The 18,322-nt window shown below is 36.6% G+C and overlaps 1 protein-coding gene across 37 annotated transcripts in view, besides 1 other annotated feature; it reads left to right on the top strand.

Annotated features, from left to right (window-relative positions):
- BNC2 (basonuclin zinc finger protein 2) overlaps positions 1-18,322 on the top strand; it is a 461,168-nt gene that overhangs the window by 227,784 nt on the left and 215,062 nt on the right. Inside the window, exon 1 of one of the 37 annotated variants that reach the window (XM_047423497.1) lies at positions 1-18,322. This exon is cut by the window's left edge and continues 11,529 nt beyond it. The exons of the other annotated variants lie outside the window; for them this stretch is intronic. Coding sequence (XP_047279453.1) covers positions 18,320-18,322 — 3 coding nt within the window. The 5' untranslated portion in view covers positions 1-18,319. 37 annotated transcript variants of the gene reach the window in all.
- Positions 15,390-15,923: an enhancer, noted in NCBI's record as "H3K27ac hESC enhancer chr9:16626962-16627495 (GRCh37/hg19 assembly coordinates)". NCBI's record gives its function as "activates a minimal SCP1, AML or CMV promoter by ChIP-STARR-seq in naive and primed H9 embryonic stem cells {active_cell/tissue: H9 hESC(naive and primed)}" and the evidence as "EXISTENCE:reporter gene assay evidence [ECO:0000049][PMID:30033119]".

Here is an 18,322-nt window from a genome sequence, read left to right as displayed (position 1 = left end):
GAATTGGAACCCTGATAGTTAGATTCCAGAACTGTGACTCTTGAACTACTTAACTGTACCTTCTCCTAGAAGGATTTGATTATTGCTTTTCATTCCAAAACAAAGTTTTGTGTAGACTATTTAAGCCATAGGGACTGTAGACTGTATTTTGAAAGCCAAAATTAAGAAAACAAAAAATGTGGCCCCAAGGCACTCACTGTTTTTCTTCCTTGATTCTTGAATCTTAAGACAGCATGGGATATTAGTGATGACAGTCTTCCTACTGCCAAATGGACGCTTGGCCACTAGTTGTAGATTTGCTTCAAAGATTTTGTGTCCTCAGAAGTGAAAGAAAAATTTTAGTGAGGCACATGCTGTGGGAAGGGTGGTTTGGTCAGTGGTTTTGTAGTATGGTTTGTGTTGTTTTCTCAGTGTGGAGAAAATAAGGAAAGCTATATAGTAAGGAAGAATATGTTAAAATATGTACTCTACCTTTCAAAGAAGAGTCCAGGGTGAGTAGCAATGCTAGTGCCACCTGAAAGAACTTTGGAGATGTTTCTTAGGTCAGAATGAAAAGCTGTTGCAGTATTGCCTAAAATAGAATTTATAAAACAGAACGCTATTGAGACTTGTTAATGTTTACAGATACTGTTTTCTTTCTCCTTTTCCTTAAAAAAATCCTTATGTGCTCACTTTAAAGTATAAAAGTAAACAACAAAACTTGTATTATATTAGGTGTAATTTCAAGGATAACGAAGTGGAAGGAGCATGTTGGCAAGGTAATTTTCTAGTATCAGGTGAGTGTTTTAGAAGAAGGGTCACTACTTATTTTGGCTTATAGAACATGATGGTAAATCAGATGATAAATGTTGCTTAATAACTTGCTGCATTGGGTGTTTACTGAATTGCGAAGGAAAAATCTTTAACCAGTACGTTAGTAGATATTTGCCTGTGACTTTTAATTAAATGTTAACAGCAAACAGAAAAATGGCCATTCCATTAAATAGCATCATCTTACATGGTATTTTGATTATTTCTTGGCATCTTCCAAAAAAAGGGAATTCTCATGTGGGAATGATGGCTGTAGCTTAGAGAGAAAGAGAGTTTACATATTTGATTACATATTTGATACATATTTAACATGGCCATATCTTTGTATATATGCTTTATTTCATTTAATCCATATGCCCCCATTGAAATGTAACATTTATTTGGACTAGAAGTTTTGGAATCTTAGCTGGAACCACTGATTTCAGACACTTATGTGATAGCAGGATTGTTTAGTCCAATATGTAATTTGCATCCGAATACTTTATTAATCTAGAAATTTTTAGTGGTGAAATTAAGTTATCTTTTGAAACAGTCTAGCAAATTAGACTAAACAATCAGGAAATTAATTAAATAGAGGCAACAGATTGGGATAGTAAACCTATTTGTAATATTAATAATAGCTCACTTTAAAATATCTGAGAAAGTGCCTCAGCAAATTTATTTGGTGTAGATTTTTGTGTTTCCCAGACATGGGAAAGGGAAGGTTCTTGAAGGAGAGAAGAAATGTCCCACTCATCTGACCACTTCCTTTCTGTTATAATTTAAGATCTTTTCCATGATTTTATTTTAATCTTCTCACTGACTTTTTCAATGATTTACAATCTGAAGTATTTTGAAAAATTATCATACTGTGCATACTGTACATAGTGTGATTACTTTTGTGCAGGGATTTAAAAAAGTAATCAGTGGTCTTTCTTTGAGAATGAACTTTTCTGGTAATGATTTCTACAACATAGAACAAAGCCTTCATTCTTTGTATTTTCCAGTAGTTACTTTATCCAGTAATTCTCATGCATTTCTCTGTGAGCATTTCTAAGGTCTTGTTCTGAGGGTCCAATTTCCTATATTCACATCCTGGCACATCTGTAAATGCTCACAGTGATGGTGTCTTAACTCTTTCTAGAGCTGTGAACGTACTGCTTCTTGAGTTCTTAGACACCTCTCTTTCTAAAGTAACAGGATCCTAGTGTTAGTTTCACTGTAAGAACTGAAATCCAGAACCTGGATGTCCTGTGACCACAAGGGGCAGAGCCAGGTCTTGGTTGCAGCTGTTCTGATGCCCAGTTTGGACTCTTCCCTAGCTAGTCTGTTATGCTGCAAGCTGAAGTTTACAAATTTGATGCCTCCTGTTGGGGTATTTCTGAAGGGTGTATAGGGTTATCAAACACTCTTAAAATACATGCCTAAGGTCATGCTTAATGTATACGGCAAACCATCCCTCACAGTTTCTTGCATAAACTTGAATATGTTCTACATGTTTTCTCAGCCTAATAGAATGACCGCTTAATTGAGTTGTATAATTTGAAATGTTGAAGTGCAATAAGAACAGGAGGACTCTCTGCTTTCTTTGGAAACTATTAACCAGTAAATGAAAATTTAGTTGAAAACTAGTAGTTAATAATTGCCATTTTCTAACATGAAAGGATTTTATCCCTCATGTGTTTTGTTAAACATTGTAAAAGTGTCAAAATTAGCTGAACTCTCATGTATTTGTATTTAATATAATCTGTTTAGATGATCTGGATATGAAATGTGATAGGAATGATGGTTGTAGCTTAGAGAGAAAGAGAGAGAGATTGAGACCCTCTCTGAATATTTGGTTTCTGGATTTAATCACCAATGCACTTATTTTATTACTCTTGGCTTTTGTAGTCTGAGGACTTTGTTTTCTTCTTTTGCTTAATTTTCTTAACCTGAAATGTGACTTGGCAAAATTAAGGACAGAGGTGTATCAAATTCTTTGCTAGTCTCTATTTTTTTTTTTGTGAAGAAGAGATTTGTATTACTACGTTTTATTTATAATCTTTAGAAGAGCTATAATAGAAATGGGTTCATAGATCTGTAAAAATCAAAATCACTCTTAAAAAATCCCTCAAGCTGTCTGTCACTAATGGGGGAAAAAATGTAATCCACTTTGGAGATTTTTTTTTTTAATGAGACAGGGTCTCACTCTGTTGCCCAGGCTAGAATGTAGTGGTGCGATCATAGCTCACTGAAGCCTTGAACTCCTGGGCTTACGCAGTCCTCCTGCTTCAGCCTTCCAAGTAGCTAGGATGGTAGGCATGCATCACCACACCTGGCTAAGTATTAAAAAAAATTTTTGTAGAGATGGAGGTCTTGCTGTGTTGCCGAGGCTGGTCTGAAACTCTTGGGCTCAAGCGGTCTTCCTGCCTCAGCCTCTCAAAGCACTGGGATTACAGGCATGAGCCAGTGTGCCTGACTTGAGATTTTTTTTTTTCCTGTGTTTTCACATGTGTTGTTGTAAGGTTCATTTGGTTTTGTTGTTATTGTTGTTAATAAGGACATAAAAAAATTTGATATGAGAATTAACGAAGAGGCACTAACATAAAGATAATAGAAAAGAATATAGTGGTAGCATTCAACAGTGGTGTATTGAGATTGCAATTATTTCTTAAAACTTGAAATCATTTTTGAAATACATATGTTAGACCTATGTCTACAGAAACAAACATGCCAGACACTGAGCTTTTCTTCTTTCTAGATGTTGGTAATTAGTAAGCAAATGCTAAAATTTAATATTAGAATAAAATGACCAGATTTTTTCCATTGCTTAACAGAGACCAATAACAACATTGTTATGAATATAAATTTTCATTATTTCTGTTATTGAACTAAAATTTGGTTTTGATAAAATGTCTCCTAAAGTGTCATCCAAGAATACTTTATTAACTTCTGTTTTTAAAAAATAAGTACAGTAATTTTTTTGATAACCTCAAACTTATTAAGTTCACATTAAGGAAAAGTTTCTTTTGAGGGAAAATAGCCTATTACACATGACATCCTTTTTCTTCTTATGAGAGTTTCTTAAACCTTGGACTTTTAGAATGTATTTTCAAATCAATAATAATTGAATCATTATTCTTACATTACATTGCTATGCTAGACATTATTACTTTCTAATTATTATCTTTAACTTTTGCAATTTATATTATCATTGTGTTTAGATGTTACATTCCCTACTGAGAATCATAAATCCTATCCAGTGGTTTTAAGTGAGGCAATTTATGTGCGTTTAGAAAGAGACTCAATTTTACTCATTTAAAATAAATGGAGAGAAGGAAACATTAAAAATAGTATTATCGTACTCTATTTGTAGTTTGCCATTTTCTGTTTAGTGTATTTTCGTAGATGAAGGTTTTTTTTTCTTTTAAAGGTTGTCTATCTCTAGGACTATAGTTTTATGAGTGGAATGTCACATAATGCATGATAACATAACCTATATGTAAGGGTTTTACAGGTAATTAGAGCCATACAGGCCATTTGAGGGGTACAGGGGAGAACCTGAGCCTGAAGAATCATGTGTAGGAAAAATCCTTGTAATCTTAAGACTTTTTTTGGGTGTTTAACTTACTAAAATGTCTTAATTATTAAACTTTCTTAATGCTGGACAGTTAGGAGAATATTAAAAAATATAAAATTATTTTTATCCAAGTTTTCTGTTTTATCCAGTAATCAGTAATGATCTGCCTTGATTCTTCAAAGTACTATTGATGAATTTCATTTGAGTTGATTTAGAAACAACTTTGTTGATGAAAAGTTTGCTTATGTATGTATTTTCAACATTTTTATGTCTATGCACTTGGTTTCAGATGAGATAGGAAATGGAAATAACAAAACACTGTTAGAAAATCTTGTTTCTGTAGACGGCTCAACCTTGCCAGAAACCACGAGGCAGTGGAAATATCACGAGAAAGCTTGTTCCTACAAGACTCCCAGACTGATTACCAGACCAAAGAAGTTCCCAGAAATTTAGCTTGAAGCAATCATTTAAAATTTAGGAGGCGGATCCAATCCTGCTCGGAGTCATCCATTGCTAATTATAGTTGCCTATGATGTCCCAGTGATTTTGTTATCAGCCACACCTAAGTATATTTCTGATTTTTTGCATGTTCCCTCCAAAATATATTCTTGCTGGGCACTTAAAATCTGTTTATTTCACTGTATGTATATTACACCACAATACTGTTCGCATTTTGAATCTATGCATTTTTTTTTCTTTGCCTGATATATCTTGTTCAACCTTGATGAGACAGATGGCTTTTTTTCTTTTAATCTAGTTTCATTTGTATCTTAAAATTTCTAGTAGCTGGGGCACTCTCCTCACCCAGGTGAGGCCTGCTTTGCCCTACAGGTGTGTTAGATGCATGGTTGTGTGTACACATCTTTGAAATACATGAGGCTGCTGCCTTTTAGAAAAGTTACTGTTTTTGCTTTTTTTTAAATAAATATTTTGGCCAGCCTCAGAAATTTAGTAATGGCTTTGAACACTTGGAATTAGCATGATAAAGCCAGAGTTTATTATATACTGTTGTGATTTAAATCACACACTGGTTATTTTGGGGAGTTAGAGCAATCTACTTGACACAGACAGGTCTTCCCTGGCGGAGGCTTGCCCCTGCATGTTCTGGATAGATGGCTTTGATGTTGGGTGAACATCACAACTTGAACTGCTGTGTTTACACTGTAAGAATGCTTGCTGAATCTCTCACTGCATCTCTCACATAATTCCAACTTCACTTTAGTTCTGAATACATGAACAGTAAAGGGGGCAGTTTGCTTTTAAATTTTGCTTGTCAGTTAGGCACTTTAAGAGTCTTATTTCTTTATGTGATTTCCTGTAAGAGCTCATATATGGGGATTGTTATTGAGTAATTTTGAACACAAAATTAATTCTATACCCTTTGATGTGGCTAATAAAAGCCATAAGGGTATGGTAGGAAAAGAAGATAAGAAGATAGAGAAAAAAAAATTGCCTCTTTCTATATGGCAAGAAGAAGAAAAAAAAAATTAAGAGCAGTTGTCTTTGAACCACAGCAGGGTTTACTCTTAAGGGTCTTCTAGCTTGTTTTTCCCATTAGCTAGGAAAGCACTATGTGAGCTTTAAAAAAAAAATACATATATATATATATTTAAATCATGGAATAATATAGGACAAATGATTTAAATTGAATCTAGATTTTGCATGAACACTCTTCTAGTTTATTGGTTAAATAAATGCTGTAGTTTCAAATAACATCCCACCTGTTTGCCTTGTTTGAGGATCTGGTGAGATGTAGAATTCCAGTAGCTTGGCTAAAAAAGGAAGAAATAAAAGATAGAATAACCTGGAAGTTCTCCACTTCCCTTCAGGTATTTTCTTGTTGTTCTTTAGATTTGGAATCTGTTACTGGATTCTTCTTTCATCCATGCTTCATGGCATATAGATATGTAGGCATTATACAAAAAGCTTATCTAGCTGGGTGTGGCGGCTCACACCTGTAATCCTAGCACTTTGGGAGGCCGAGGTAGGAGGATCGCATGAGCTCAGGAGTTCAAGACCACCCTAGGCAACATAGTGAGACCTTATCTCTACAAAAAATTAAAAAATTAGCTGGGTGTGGTTGCCTGCTCTTATAGTCCCAGCTACTTGGGAGGCTGAGGTGAGAGGATCGCTTGAGTCCAGGAGTTTGAAGCTGCAGTGAGCTGTGATTGTGCCACTGCACTCCAGTTTGGGTGACAGAGCAAGACCCTGTCTCCAAAAAAAAAAGAAAGTCTTCACCTAAAAACTTGCATCTTCTAGAACCATGAACTATGGATGGTCAGACCTTCTTATTTTTATGTTAGCAGATTTTTTTTTCTGTAGATAATTTTTCAGCATTATGATTATATGACCAACATGCGAATGTAATTTCACATTTTAGCCTTTGAGTGTCTGCTGGTTCACTCATCTTAACAGTCTCCATATTCTAAAATTCTGGAGTAGTCCAAGGAACATTCCTAAGATTATTTTGCCATATGCTTTGTGCAGATTTTGAGTCTTTTTCAATCTTAAGTTTAAATTGTTTCCAGTTTCTGAATATTAATAAAACAAACAAACCAACCCTCTTAATGTATCCCCTGTTCTACACATTCCCTTACTTTTTGGGAACTCTTTTGTCCCCTGCCCTCACCACCATCCTACCCTTTGCCATATGGAGTGTGGGATGTATTGTTTGTTAGGTTTTAAATAAGCAAATTTGCCTTCTCTGTGTTGAAGAAACCTTTACTTTTAAAAACTGATTATGGCCTCTAGGCACCAAATCTTAAACATTTCTGTAGCTTATCTGTTGAGTTTATTATAGATCGTATCTAGAAATTTATTTAGCTTGTTTGAGTTGCCAACAAAAGTTGGCCAAGAAATCTGTATAATAGAATTGTCTGTCCAATTTTGAAATATGACTTCTAATTATATCTTTTGCATACACACAAAAATCTGCAGTATTAATTTGAGCTCTGTCCTAATCACAATTATTTTTTGTTACTTTCCAGTAAAATAGCTTTTTCTTGTAAATTTTTGACATAAACACCAGACCACATTTATTAAAATGAAAAAATACTTGCTGTTATCAAGGTATTCAAAAGTATTATAAAATATTAAATAAAGTTAGAGTTTGTGGCACATTGACTAACAAATTTTATCTGACAGAGACCAAGAAAAAAATACATAAAATTATAAAGTAAATAAACAAAATCAGTAATTTCCACAAACAAGTATGTTTATGCAGGAGCACTGTTAACCTACTAGTGTTCAGAGTAATTTCTGAATCAAGATAATTTCTGATGGTGCTTTTAAAGAGTCTAGTTATCTTGTAACTAATATGACATGGGATTAAAGTTAATCTCTTTTTAACTACAGTGAGAAAATTTAAAAGCCTTGGCTTCATAGACTAAATACCTGAACAGACAAATTGCTGAAATAATGCAGCTAAGACTGCAAGAGAAACTGCAAAAGATACCCCAAGTTATGTTTGTTATTAAGCATAGGTTATTTTGAAAATAGGTTTCCATATGGAGTATACGGTATGTAATTTATACAGACCACATTACTAATAGATTCTGTCAAGTGGCACTGAATTCAAGCTACAATGTCCATAATGGAATATGTAAGGAAATTGCTGGTGTTATTGGGTTGGATTAAAAGAAAAAAAAAAACACCTTTATTAGTATGTGTTCCCCCTCCCCTCAGTGTACACTGCTTCTTGGGCTCAGACTTTGGGGTTTAAGAATGAGGTATTTGGGCCGGGCGCGGTTGTTCACGCCTGTAATCCCAGCATTTTGGGAGGCTGAGGCGGGTAGATCACAAGGTCAGGAGATCGAGACCATCCTGGCTAACACAATGAAACCCCATCTCTACTAAAAATACAAAAAATTAGCCAGGTGTGGTGGCAGGTGCCTGTAGCCCCAGCTACTCGGAAGGCTGAGGCACTAGAATGGTGTGAATCCGGGAGGCAGAGCTTGCAGTGAGCAGAGATTGCGCCACTGCACTCCAGCCTGGGTGACAGAATGAGACTCTGTCTCAAAAAAAAAAAAAAAAAGATATTTGAAGGTCTAATTATAGGATAAATTTGGTGACTAAGAGGTTACTCTTAATAACAATAATCATATTTGGTTTACCTATTTGTCACCAGACAGTATCCAGACTTCATGTGACTAATGGTGACAACTGTATTTTGAGAAATTTGGAAAATCACATAAGCTGTTGGTGATACTTTCAAATCAGAATGTTTTAAATAGCGGACAAGGTAAAGCAAGCTCAGAACTTAATAATAGAGGAATAGATACAGTATATTGAAGGAAAAAAATACATTGACATTTGCAAAGAGAAAGATGCTGTTTCTATAGCATACCTAAGTCCATTGAATTTGCACAGTGGACAAATTGCAATTGGGGAATATTATTCATATAAATAGTCCTGTCAGAACACGGGATGAGTAGAGTCTTGTGGAACAGTTTGTTTAGAGAAGTACTAGTTAGGAATCACTTGTATTAGCTGGTAAGCATCAAGAGAAACGCTTGGATAGGGTAGTTTAATAAACAGTGTCAGCACATTTACATGGATTGTGACAGTTTTATCTTTTGCTAAATAGCCTAGAGTAAGCATTATTTTAGCATGTTATCAAAAATAATTATAATATATTTGGCACCCACTGAAATTCTGACTTACCTGTTGGGGTATGTTTTTGGTAATTCAGAACAGATTGATTGAAGAATCTTCTTTAAAAGTTGCATTTTAGATGTTTTCTTTGGGTGGTTCTTGTAGCCATCACAGAAATAAACATACCTTAGTTTGCAAACCGCTATTTACTTGGATCTGAATAGGAAACATTGTCACGATGTTACGATATACTGTATTTCCGGATACCTTAACAATTATTAGATAAACACGATGAAGATGGAAAATATTGAAGAAATAATGATATTATAAAAACTTTTGAATGGTTTTAGTTGAAAACAAACCAAGAATATATTGGTATAGACATAATTGCAAAGTAGAGCTACCGCACTACCAAAAAAAGTTATTTGAGGTAGTTGCTGGAAGCAGAATTTTCACGGTTAGAAATGCTTAAAAAGAGGCTCTTTTAAGTAGAAAAGAATGTGAGACTTTAGTTATTGTAACAGTAGGCTTCAGAGTAGCCATAAATGAAGTTTAGCTGGAGTAAGACTAACAGGGTTTTAATCTGTTGTTTTTCTAGTTAAGGCTTATTAATAACATTTATGTATGGCCTTGTTCATTTGTGCACTGGGACAGAACTAGAACCTTGGGCTCCCCATTTTGTTCTTTGGTACAGGGCCATCGTATTTCAGTAAATAGAGAGTTTTTTCTCTTCTTAGACGTCTAAACAATGGCAATAATTTATAACTAACTGCTCTTCGTTATGTTGCAGAGGCAAATTGCGCAGAAAATTATGGATAATTTTAAAAAGATGAAATACAGGTGGCTCATCTAAAACAGACTCCAATTAAAACCACATTGTATTAAATAGAGCCTGCTTTAGATAGGCTCCTCTTCATGCTAAATATGAATGAAGCAACAATTTTAGATATAATAGCTGGTATCTGGATTTTAATATGATCAGTTCTCATGCTTCGGGGCCCAAATATTGCCAGCTGGTATTAAGAAACCTACCCTCCTATAAAACTCGATTATATTGTTTTCCCTAAGAGTATTGCTTTAGGAATTATTGAGAAAGTGGTTTTTACAGGGTATAGACTTTTGCATAAAAGTTGGTGCTAAAATTTGACTCATCAAAATTTGCATCACACTCTTGCATCTGGAATATTACCAGATGGCGTTAAATTAGACCTTGGGATGGGTGTCTCATTCAGAGACATGGCAGTCTGTACTCAGTGTAATGGGTGAGCAAAGATGTGTTCTAGACCTAAGTGTATGCTGTCTGCATTATGGCTTATATAAAATGGCCACATCTGTTATTTTATCAAGAGAATAAGTTTTCTAAGTTTTGGTTGGTCTGATATGCTAATATCTGCAATTAGCAGAGCCTTGACAAATTGTTCCCTTAAATTAAGAGTTCATCAGTTTGGCAGAATGTGACCTGATAAAATGATTTGGGAATATGGTGCTTTTACATACACAGATTTTTTTTTTTTCCCGTTTTAGTCTTTCTTAGCCATCAGACTCCAGAAGATGTACAAGGCTATGCCAGTTTTTTTGTTTGTGCTTTTAAAGAAATTATTACCGAATGTGGGGGATCCACGGAAAGTGAACTCCTGGAGGGACAGAGGAGGAGCAAGACTGTCTGATCCTGAGATCTCAGTGCCTAAAACATAGAAGGGGTTCAGTAAATACTTGTTTGAAATAAAAATAACGATTAAAAAAAAGGAGGGAATAGTTCCTACCATCATATGCAAGATGACATGGGTAGTCCTGACTCTTCTGGAGTAAGGAGACTGAGCATTCTCACTGCTGAATTAGGTGAAGGGAAACTTAGAATCTCCTTAAAAGGGACAAACAAGACCCTACATGATTGGACCTGCCCCTTACCCTGTCTGCCATTCTTGTCATTTCTTGCCTCAGCCTTATTGCCCCAGCAACACAGATCAGCTGGTAGTTCTTTGCCGATTTTGTGCTATTTCCTATCGTGGAACATTCTCCCATGTTGTTCTCCCTAGTCCTTATCTTGCCTGGTTGGCTACTAAACTTGTATTTAAGCTTCATTATGTTCTGTCTTTTTTTCTGAAGTTGTTCTAAAGCCCTACCTGAGTTGGTGCCTTCTTCTGTTTCTCTGGAAATCTCTGTGTGTTTCTGCTCTTCTGCACAACGTGATAAATTATTTGAATTTTCTCCTTCACTAGATGGTTTTTATGTCAAGATGCTTTTCCTTATATTTGTTCAAACCCAAACATTGGACACGATGGTAGGCCACGGAAATCAGTTAATAAGTATTTGCCAAATGATTGTTCATACCAGCCCTCTCAGTTGCAGAATGAAAAACTTTGAATGCTTCTTTAATAATAAATCTTCTTGACTATTGGCTGTGATTCTAAGTCCCTTGTTATAGGAGTATGGTTATTAACCTAGTTATTTCTGCCATGTTTCAATGTGGATAAGCGTATTTAACAGATTCGCTCTGTTGCATTGATCCTGTGATGGTGTTATATACTACTCCAGTGCCCTGGACTGTGCGCTACAGGGCAGCCTCTAGACTTTGGGATTAAGTAATGGTGATTCGGTGGGGGTATGGGTTCTTATTTTATGGGAGTGTTTTGGCAATTAAGTGCTATTTAAAGGTATTATTTTTGTTAGAAAGATAAGGATTTAGATCTGTGGTTCATTAATTATGTAAAAGTTGAATTAGCAAAGGCTAGTTTTTGGCTCAAATTATGAAAGAATACTCTTGGGAAACTGGGTATCGGGGAGAGGATAAGTAAGTTTGGTTATTTGTCTTGAGATTTTATAGAGAACACACACGTACCCCATAAATGTAGTTTTAAAGAATTGTTCAAAGTAAATCAATTTTTGATTTTAAGAAAAGCTCCAGGCCGGACATGGTGGCTCATGCCTATAATCTCACCACCTTGGGAAGCCTAGGTGGGCTGATCACCTGAGATCAGGAGTTCGAGACCAGCCTGACCAACGTGGAGAAACCCCGTCTCTACTAAAAATACAAAATTAGCTGGGCGTGGTGGCGCATGCCTGTAATCCCAGCTACTCGAGAGGCTGAGGCAGGAGAATCGCTTGAACCCGGGAGGCGGAGGTTGCAGTGAGCCGAGATCGCACCGTTGCCCTCCAGCCTGGGCAACAAGAGTGAAACTCTGTTTCAAAAAAAGAAACGCTCCACATTTTTAAATAATACACAGGTTTTGCAGTGTAACTACTGGTGAGGACCAGAAATCTAGTTACTAGATTTCTTAAAAATAAAATTTCTCACACTGTTTAAAAAAAGGAAAAGAAGTACACTTATTTTTCCTATGTGTAGTTTATACATGCTAAATAAATAAAGTTTAGAAAATGGAATTTAAGAAGAGTAAAAGCATCGCCAATAGTTCCTTCCACACAGGTGTTAATCATTTTTTGTTTTCACTTGTCTTTTGTATTCATTTTAAAAATAGAGGACCATATTGCGTACACTGCTTTGTAAGCTGCTTTTTGCTTATCAACATTTTGTAACTATCTTTCCATGTTATTAATAACTGAGTTTTAATGCTTTTATCATAATTTAATCATAATTTTGGCTCAGCCATATTAGCTCTTTCTTGATAGATTTTACTGTGTAATTTAATAATCCAGTTTTGGACTTTTCCCACTTAGACTAGTATTCTTTATTAGATTTAACATGAACTAAGTGCTATAAATGAGTCAATATTTTTTTAAAATTATATGTCTGTTTATCAGTGTACTGTTTCAAGTCTATGTATTAGTTAAGTCTGTTCTTCAGGCTTGAACATAGGCATACCTCCTTTTATTGCACTTGGCTTTACTGCACTCTGCAGATACTGCATTTCTTTTACAAATTGAAGCAGTGGCAGAGTTTGAAAGAATTGACTCCAATTTTGAAAGAAGTCCTAGTGTGGATAACATGCTATCCAAAGCATCAATGCTACAGAGAAATCTTTTCTGAATGGAAGAGTCAATTGATGCGGCAAACCGTCTATTTTATGAGTAGACACCACAGCCACCCGTCTTCATCAACCACCACCCTGATCAATCAGCAGCCATCAACATCTAGGCAAGACCCTCTGCCAGCAAAAAGATTACACCTCACTGAAGGCTCAGACGATTGTTAGCATTTTTTAGCAATAAAGTATTTTAGATGTATGTATGCTGTTTTTTTTAGACATAATGCTATTGCACACTTAATAGACTACAGCATCGAATAAACAAATTTTATATGCACTGGGAAACCAAAAAAAAATCATGTGACTTGGTTTATGTGGTGGTTTGGAGTGGAACCTGAGTTCGTCCGATGTTTGCCTGCAGATGCTCATCCTTTACTCTTTCCCCACTACTGTTGGTGCTCCCAGTTCTGCTGTCTGCCTTTATCCAATTGTAAGCCTCAATGTGATTTCTAGATTCACCCTAAGTACTTGCCCTTGATCAGCCCAGCACTGAACTCCCCCAAACACACAAACATTAAAGTTCATTTAGAAAGAGTGAATTTTAGGAAGAAACCACAGAGGCCAAGATCTTCTCTAATTAATGTAGTGAATCTTCTGAATGTAGTGAGTCTTCTGGCCATTTTTTGAGTATTACATTGATAGCTCATTCAAAACGAAAATTATTCACACAACTATGGTGTAAATAAAAAGATGTGATGTTAATATAATTTTTGGATTAGATTATTGCCGAATCAAGCATCTTTACAACATTATAGTTTAGAGTAATGTGTTTGGCTAAATTAGGCAATAAAAGTAAACATAAAAGGTAAACCTTCCCGATTAGTCCTTACATTTGACTTCTCTGTATGTGAAACACTGACAAAAACCAAAAATAATTTCACTACTCTGTATTTATTTTTCTGATTGAGACTTTGGAAAAGTCAAGAATGACAACGGTAGGTATTTCTTTTTTGCAGAACAAGCCTGAGATGGTACTTAGGTGCTTACATACAAGCTACTGATCACTTAATGACATTAAAAAAATTTTAATTACTTATTGCCTTCAGACACTACAGAAGTTTAAAAATCCTACTATTTCCACTTAAATTTCTAGACCAATGCTGTTGGACTTTCTTTCCCTTTAACAGCAATGATTATCCAGTTGAATGTTGTTTCACAGAAAGGAAAAGTGCATTTGTGTAAAAATATCTGGGGCTTGCCAGGGAATCTTTTTCAGAATGCTTTGTGGTTACAAATGAAGCTTATTGTTGTATAAATGGCAAGTTTAAAATCATAGAACTTTTTTGCAGTAGCTCATGGCATGAGTTGATAATCTGCGAATTGCTCTGCGTGTGTGTTTGTGTGTGTTCGCATGCATGCCTCAGCCCATCTGTAAGTAGCTGGATCCTGTGCCGTTCCTCCCCCTGTTTCCCACCTCACTTATTTAGATACATAAATACGCACACTTTTACATCTAAGGCAAACCCCAAAAGATGCATGTGGAAGGCTGGATGTGGGAGAGAGGTGTTTTCCTTTAATTGACCTCTCACGGCGTTCCACTTGATAAAGTGACAACATTTTCTGAAAACTTAAGGTTTTTGAATGTGTGGATTTTCTCCCTACCACTGTAATTTCTGAAACTTTCTCTAAACAAGATGGCTGGCACATTATGGGGACAGAGCAGAGACATAGAACAGAGACAAAGCCGCCCTGAGAAGGCAGACACACTTATATTGCTTGTGGTTTTTCAGTACAGCTGCTTTCAGATGAGCCGGCTTGTTCTAAGCTGGTCCCACTGCCAAAGCAAGACTGTCACACAGCTGGTAGTACTTACTGTACTTGCGGGAAAGTATGTGATTCATTAGTTGGAACCGTATGTTTTTCACCAGTTCTGGTCATGTTTTTGTTAGGATGTGGTAAAAACACAAGCAGGGGGTGAAGGGACAATGGAAACATGTGACTTCTTAAGGATTGGCCTGAACCCGTTATTAGCTAAATTGTACACCGTAAAATGTCCTTTGTACCTCATAAGACAAATGACTTAATTTTTTATTCCTCAGTTGAGGTCATTCAGTCATAAGTGGTAAAAATTATCAACACTGAGCTCTTTTTCTCTTTTTACTTTCTGCAAAGTATTATGATCCGTTTAAACCCCAAATTATAATATGAAGGGAAGTCATGCAAGTAAAAGACATTAATTTGCTGAAAAATGCCCATGACGGGTGAAGAACTTTAACTGGAGTGAACTCTTGCTACTGATAAAATATGAGTATGGTATTACAGCTCATAAGAAACACTTCTAATACCACAGGGTGTGAGGAGAACAATAAATGGGAGTTTCTTTGTCTACACATGATCAAGCAGACTCAAATTGTATGGCTGGAGGATTGAGAGACTAGTCTTTTAAGTAATTTTGGTGTCATTAATGGGCTTGCATCACAGTATCTCTGTAATGCTCAATCCTGGTATTGTGCAGAACTGCTGGTGTGAGCCGCATTGAATATTGGCCTGTTATCACCAGGTTTTTGAGCTTGTGAATATTTTACAACTGCACAGGCCGAACCATATTCTTTGGAAAATGAATGCCATTGCTGCTGTGTTGTGTTCTCCTTACATAGGAATATGCTTTGACATTTGCTTGCTTCTGCTTCATTCTGACACTGGAGTTGTTTTACTTTTGTCCCCACTCCCATAGCCTGCTATTGAGACAGGTGGTATTTTCAAAGTCTAAGTAAAATATTGGCAGATTATGCCTCTACCCTCAGACTCTGTTTTTCAACTGTTCCCTTCTAAAGTTCTGCACCGTTCATGCCTCACTACATACACTCCAGCAGTTGCTGGACTCTGCAGAATTAGAACCAGGTCTGTCTCTGACAATTAGCTCAACTGGCTGCAGGATAAATAAAGGAATGCGCTCAGGGGCTGTAGTCTGTGACACAGTGTAACAGAGCGTAAAAAGGTGCATCTGTTCCATGCCCTGATTCAGTCGCCTCACTGTCACTGGGAAGTTACCGACACGGAGACATGCCCGTGCTGTTTGGTAAACAAGCGGCAGGTATTAAATTAACAGGGCTGTGAGTGTGCAAACGTGCTGCTTTATTAAAAGCCCTGCTATCTTGGCTCACTGCTGGGTCACAGGCAGTTGCTAGAGCATCTAGTAAGATGACTCATGGCACTGCATACTTCAATACCCTGTTCTCGCTTCCTTCCAGAGGGGACCGTTGACATTTGAGAGCCTGATTACGGAAGGAAAAAAAGGAGAAAGAAAAGAGAATACAGGGTGTGTGTGTGTGTGTGTGTGTTTGCCTTTTACGTTTCGTAGGCTAGGCAAGAAGGAGATGAGGGCCAGCACCCCAGAGCCAGGTTTTAGTTTAAATTGGGCTTCTGAATCCAATACTAAATTGCAACCAGGTCTCTGTCTTTGTTGTTGTTTATTTTCTCTGCCTTTCTGTCTCACCCTCCTCATGACTGCTACTTGATTTGTGGTTGAAATAATGAGGGGATAACTGAGAGATGAAAGTTTTGCTCTGTCTGCCTGCACTGGGTGGGCACCATGCATCTTGCAAATGTACTTGCAGGAAAAAACACTTCGACTTTTATTATATTCTTTAAGCATTTATCGCCTTTGCATTTAATATTTTTAATGAAAAACTCGCATTTTAAAGACTTTCTGCTTTCATTCAGCAATGTCATGATTTTTGAAGTTTGTTTTCCCTTCAGCTTCAGGAATGCTTTACACAGGGTCATGTGTGGTTGCCTTGTTGAATTGTTCCTCACTTTTGTGGTCTTATCTTTGAGGAGTCCTCTTTAGATATACCAAGGTCTGTAGGCAAACATTACAAGACAATTTTCAGTACACATGTCTGTGCTAAAGAGACTGGCATTTCTGAAGGTTTCCTGCTCCCCTCCAAGTTGTGTTTCTTTTAAGGGCCCCAACTAGCTCCTCATCCATTAGAAGATGATGTAATGCTAATGGTATCTAGCTCCACACAGCTTGGACCAAAAATGATTCCAGTTGGCTGTATTTGAATGTGAATGACCAGAAGGTGCTAGACATTCTCCACTGTAATTGCAAGTGCTTACCTTGGAAATCTCTTTTGGTTGTAGAGGTCCTTTGGTCCTCATACTAGAGATCATACCGCCACACATGCATTCCTACTGTCCAGACCCATCTTTATTGTTGGCTGTCTTTTTATAGTGATGTCTAGGTAGAGGAGTGCGATGCCCAGGGTCGGGGATAGGGAGGGTGGAGAGGAAGCAGCCTTTCTCATTGTTTGCTCAGAAAGGAAAGTATCCCACTATCTAGAGAGTTAGTGATGCCTCAGAATCTCTTTATCTTTGTAACCTCTTTTCTGTATGAAGTTTAATAAGCCGGCTGTGCAGTTTTTAAAACGCCAGTGGATTCCGCTTTTCACTTGGACCGCCCCCCGCCTTTTGCTCTGAGCATTCACTCCCTGTTTCCTTATTTCCCCCGTTCTCTTTTCCTTTATCTCAGGGGAGTTCCCTGAGTAGCAAGACTGAAAAAGAGCTGAGGTTTATGTTAGAAGAAATTAAGGTTAATGATCATTGGCTCATTTTCATATTCTGTGGGTGTGGATGGAGGAGTAATCAGTGCAGGTGGCCCTGCCAGTTGGGAGTTTTTCTTTGTCATCAAGAAAATAAGGAGAGTGCAGGGATTGAATTACCACAACTATTTCAGGACTAAACATATTTCATTTCCCGATCGGGTCTGGTTTAAGGACGCAAAGCTGACATTAATTTTATCCAAAGAAAGCACAGCATTTTTTTTGTTTCATAATTTGACTAATGCATAGGGTAGATGCATGTTCAAATTTAATTCTAGTATAATCTTACAAATAATTCTCTGAAAAGCAAAGGGGTTTTGATTCAGTTTGACAGTTTATGTTTCTGTGTCCAATTACCACTTAGTTATTGAATGTTAAAAAGCTGCTTTCTAAAATGTGCACTCCGACTGCACCAATTGGCTTCCCAGCTGCCTGCTATTACATGCGAGGTGCTCTCTTCTAACTTTTTAAAGGATGTACACAGTTGAAGTAGTTATGTTTAGCTAGCAAAGGAAGTGGGGGATTTGGTTAGGAAGTGCTTGCTGGCCTTGAAAAACTATCATGTGTGCATTCTCATTTCAGCCACATAAAGATCATTCTTTAAATAAATACTTGTTGGATTAAAAAAACCTTAAATGCTCCGATAAACTAGAGAAATAACTTTGATTTTTTTTAAAAACATGACTTCCATTTGGATCAACTTTTTAAAGTTTTCAATATGCTTTTAATACCACTGATGTAACTTTCTACAAGTGAGGTATTCTGATTCCATGCTTGGAAAAAGAAGATCTACAGGTTGACCAGAGACAATAAAAGTCATTGAGGAAGAGTGTCAACACTTGCCATGCATG

This window comes from Homo sapiens, chromosome 9 (assembly GCF_000001405.40).
Source record: "Homo sapiens chromosome 9, GRCh38.p14 Primary Assembly".
NCBI classification, from domain to species: domain Eukaryota; kingdom Metazoa; phylum Chordata; class Mammalia; order Primates; family Hominidae; genus Homo; species Homo sapiens.
This window is presented reverse-complemented; position numbering and strand designations above follow the sequence as displayed.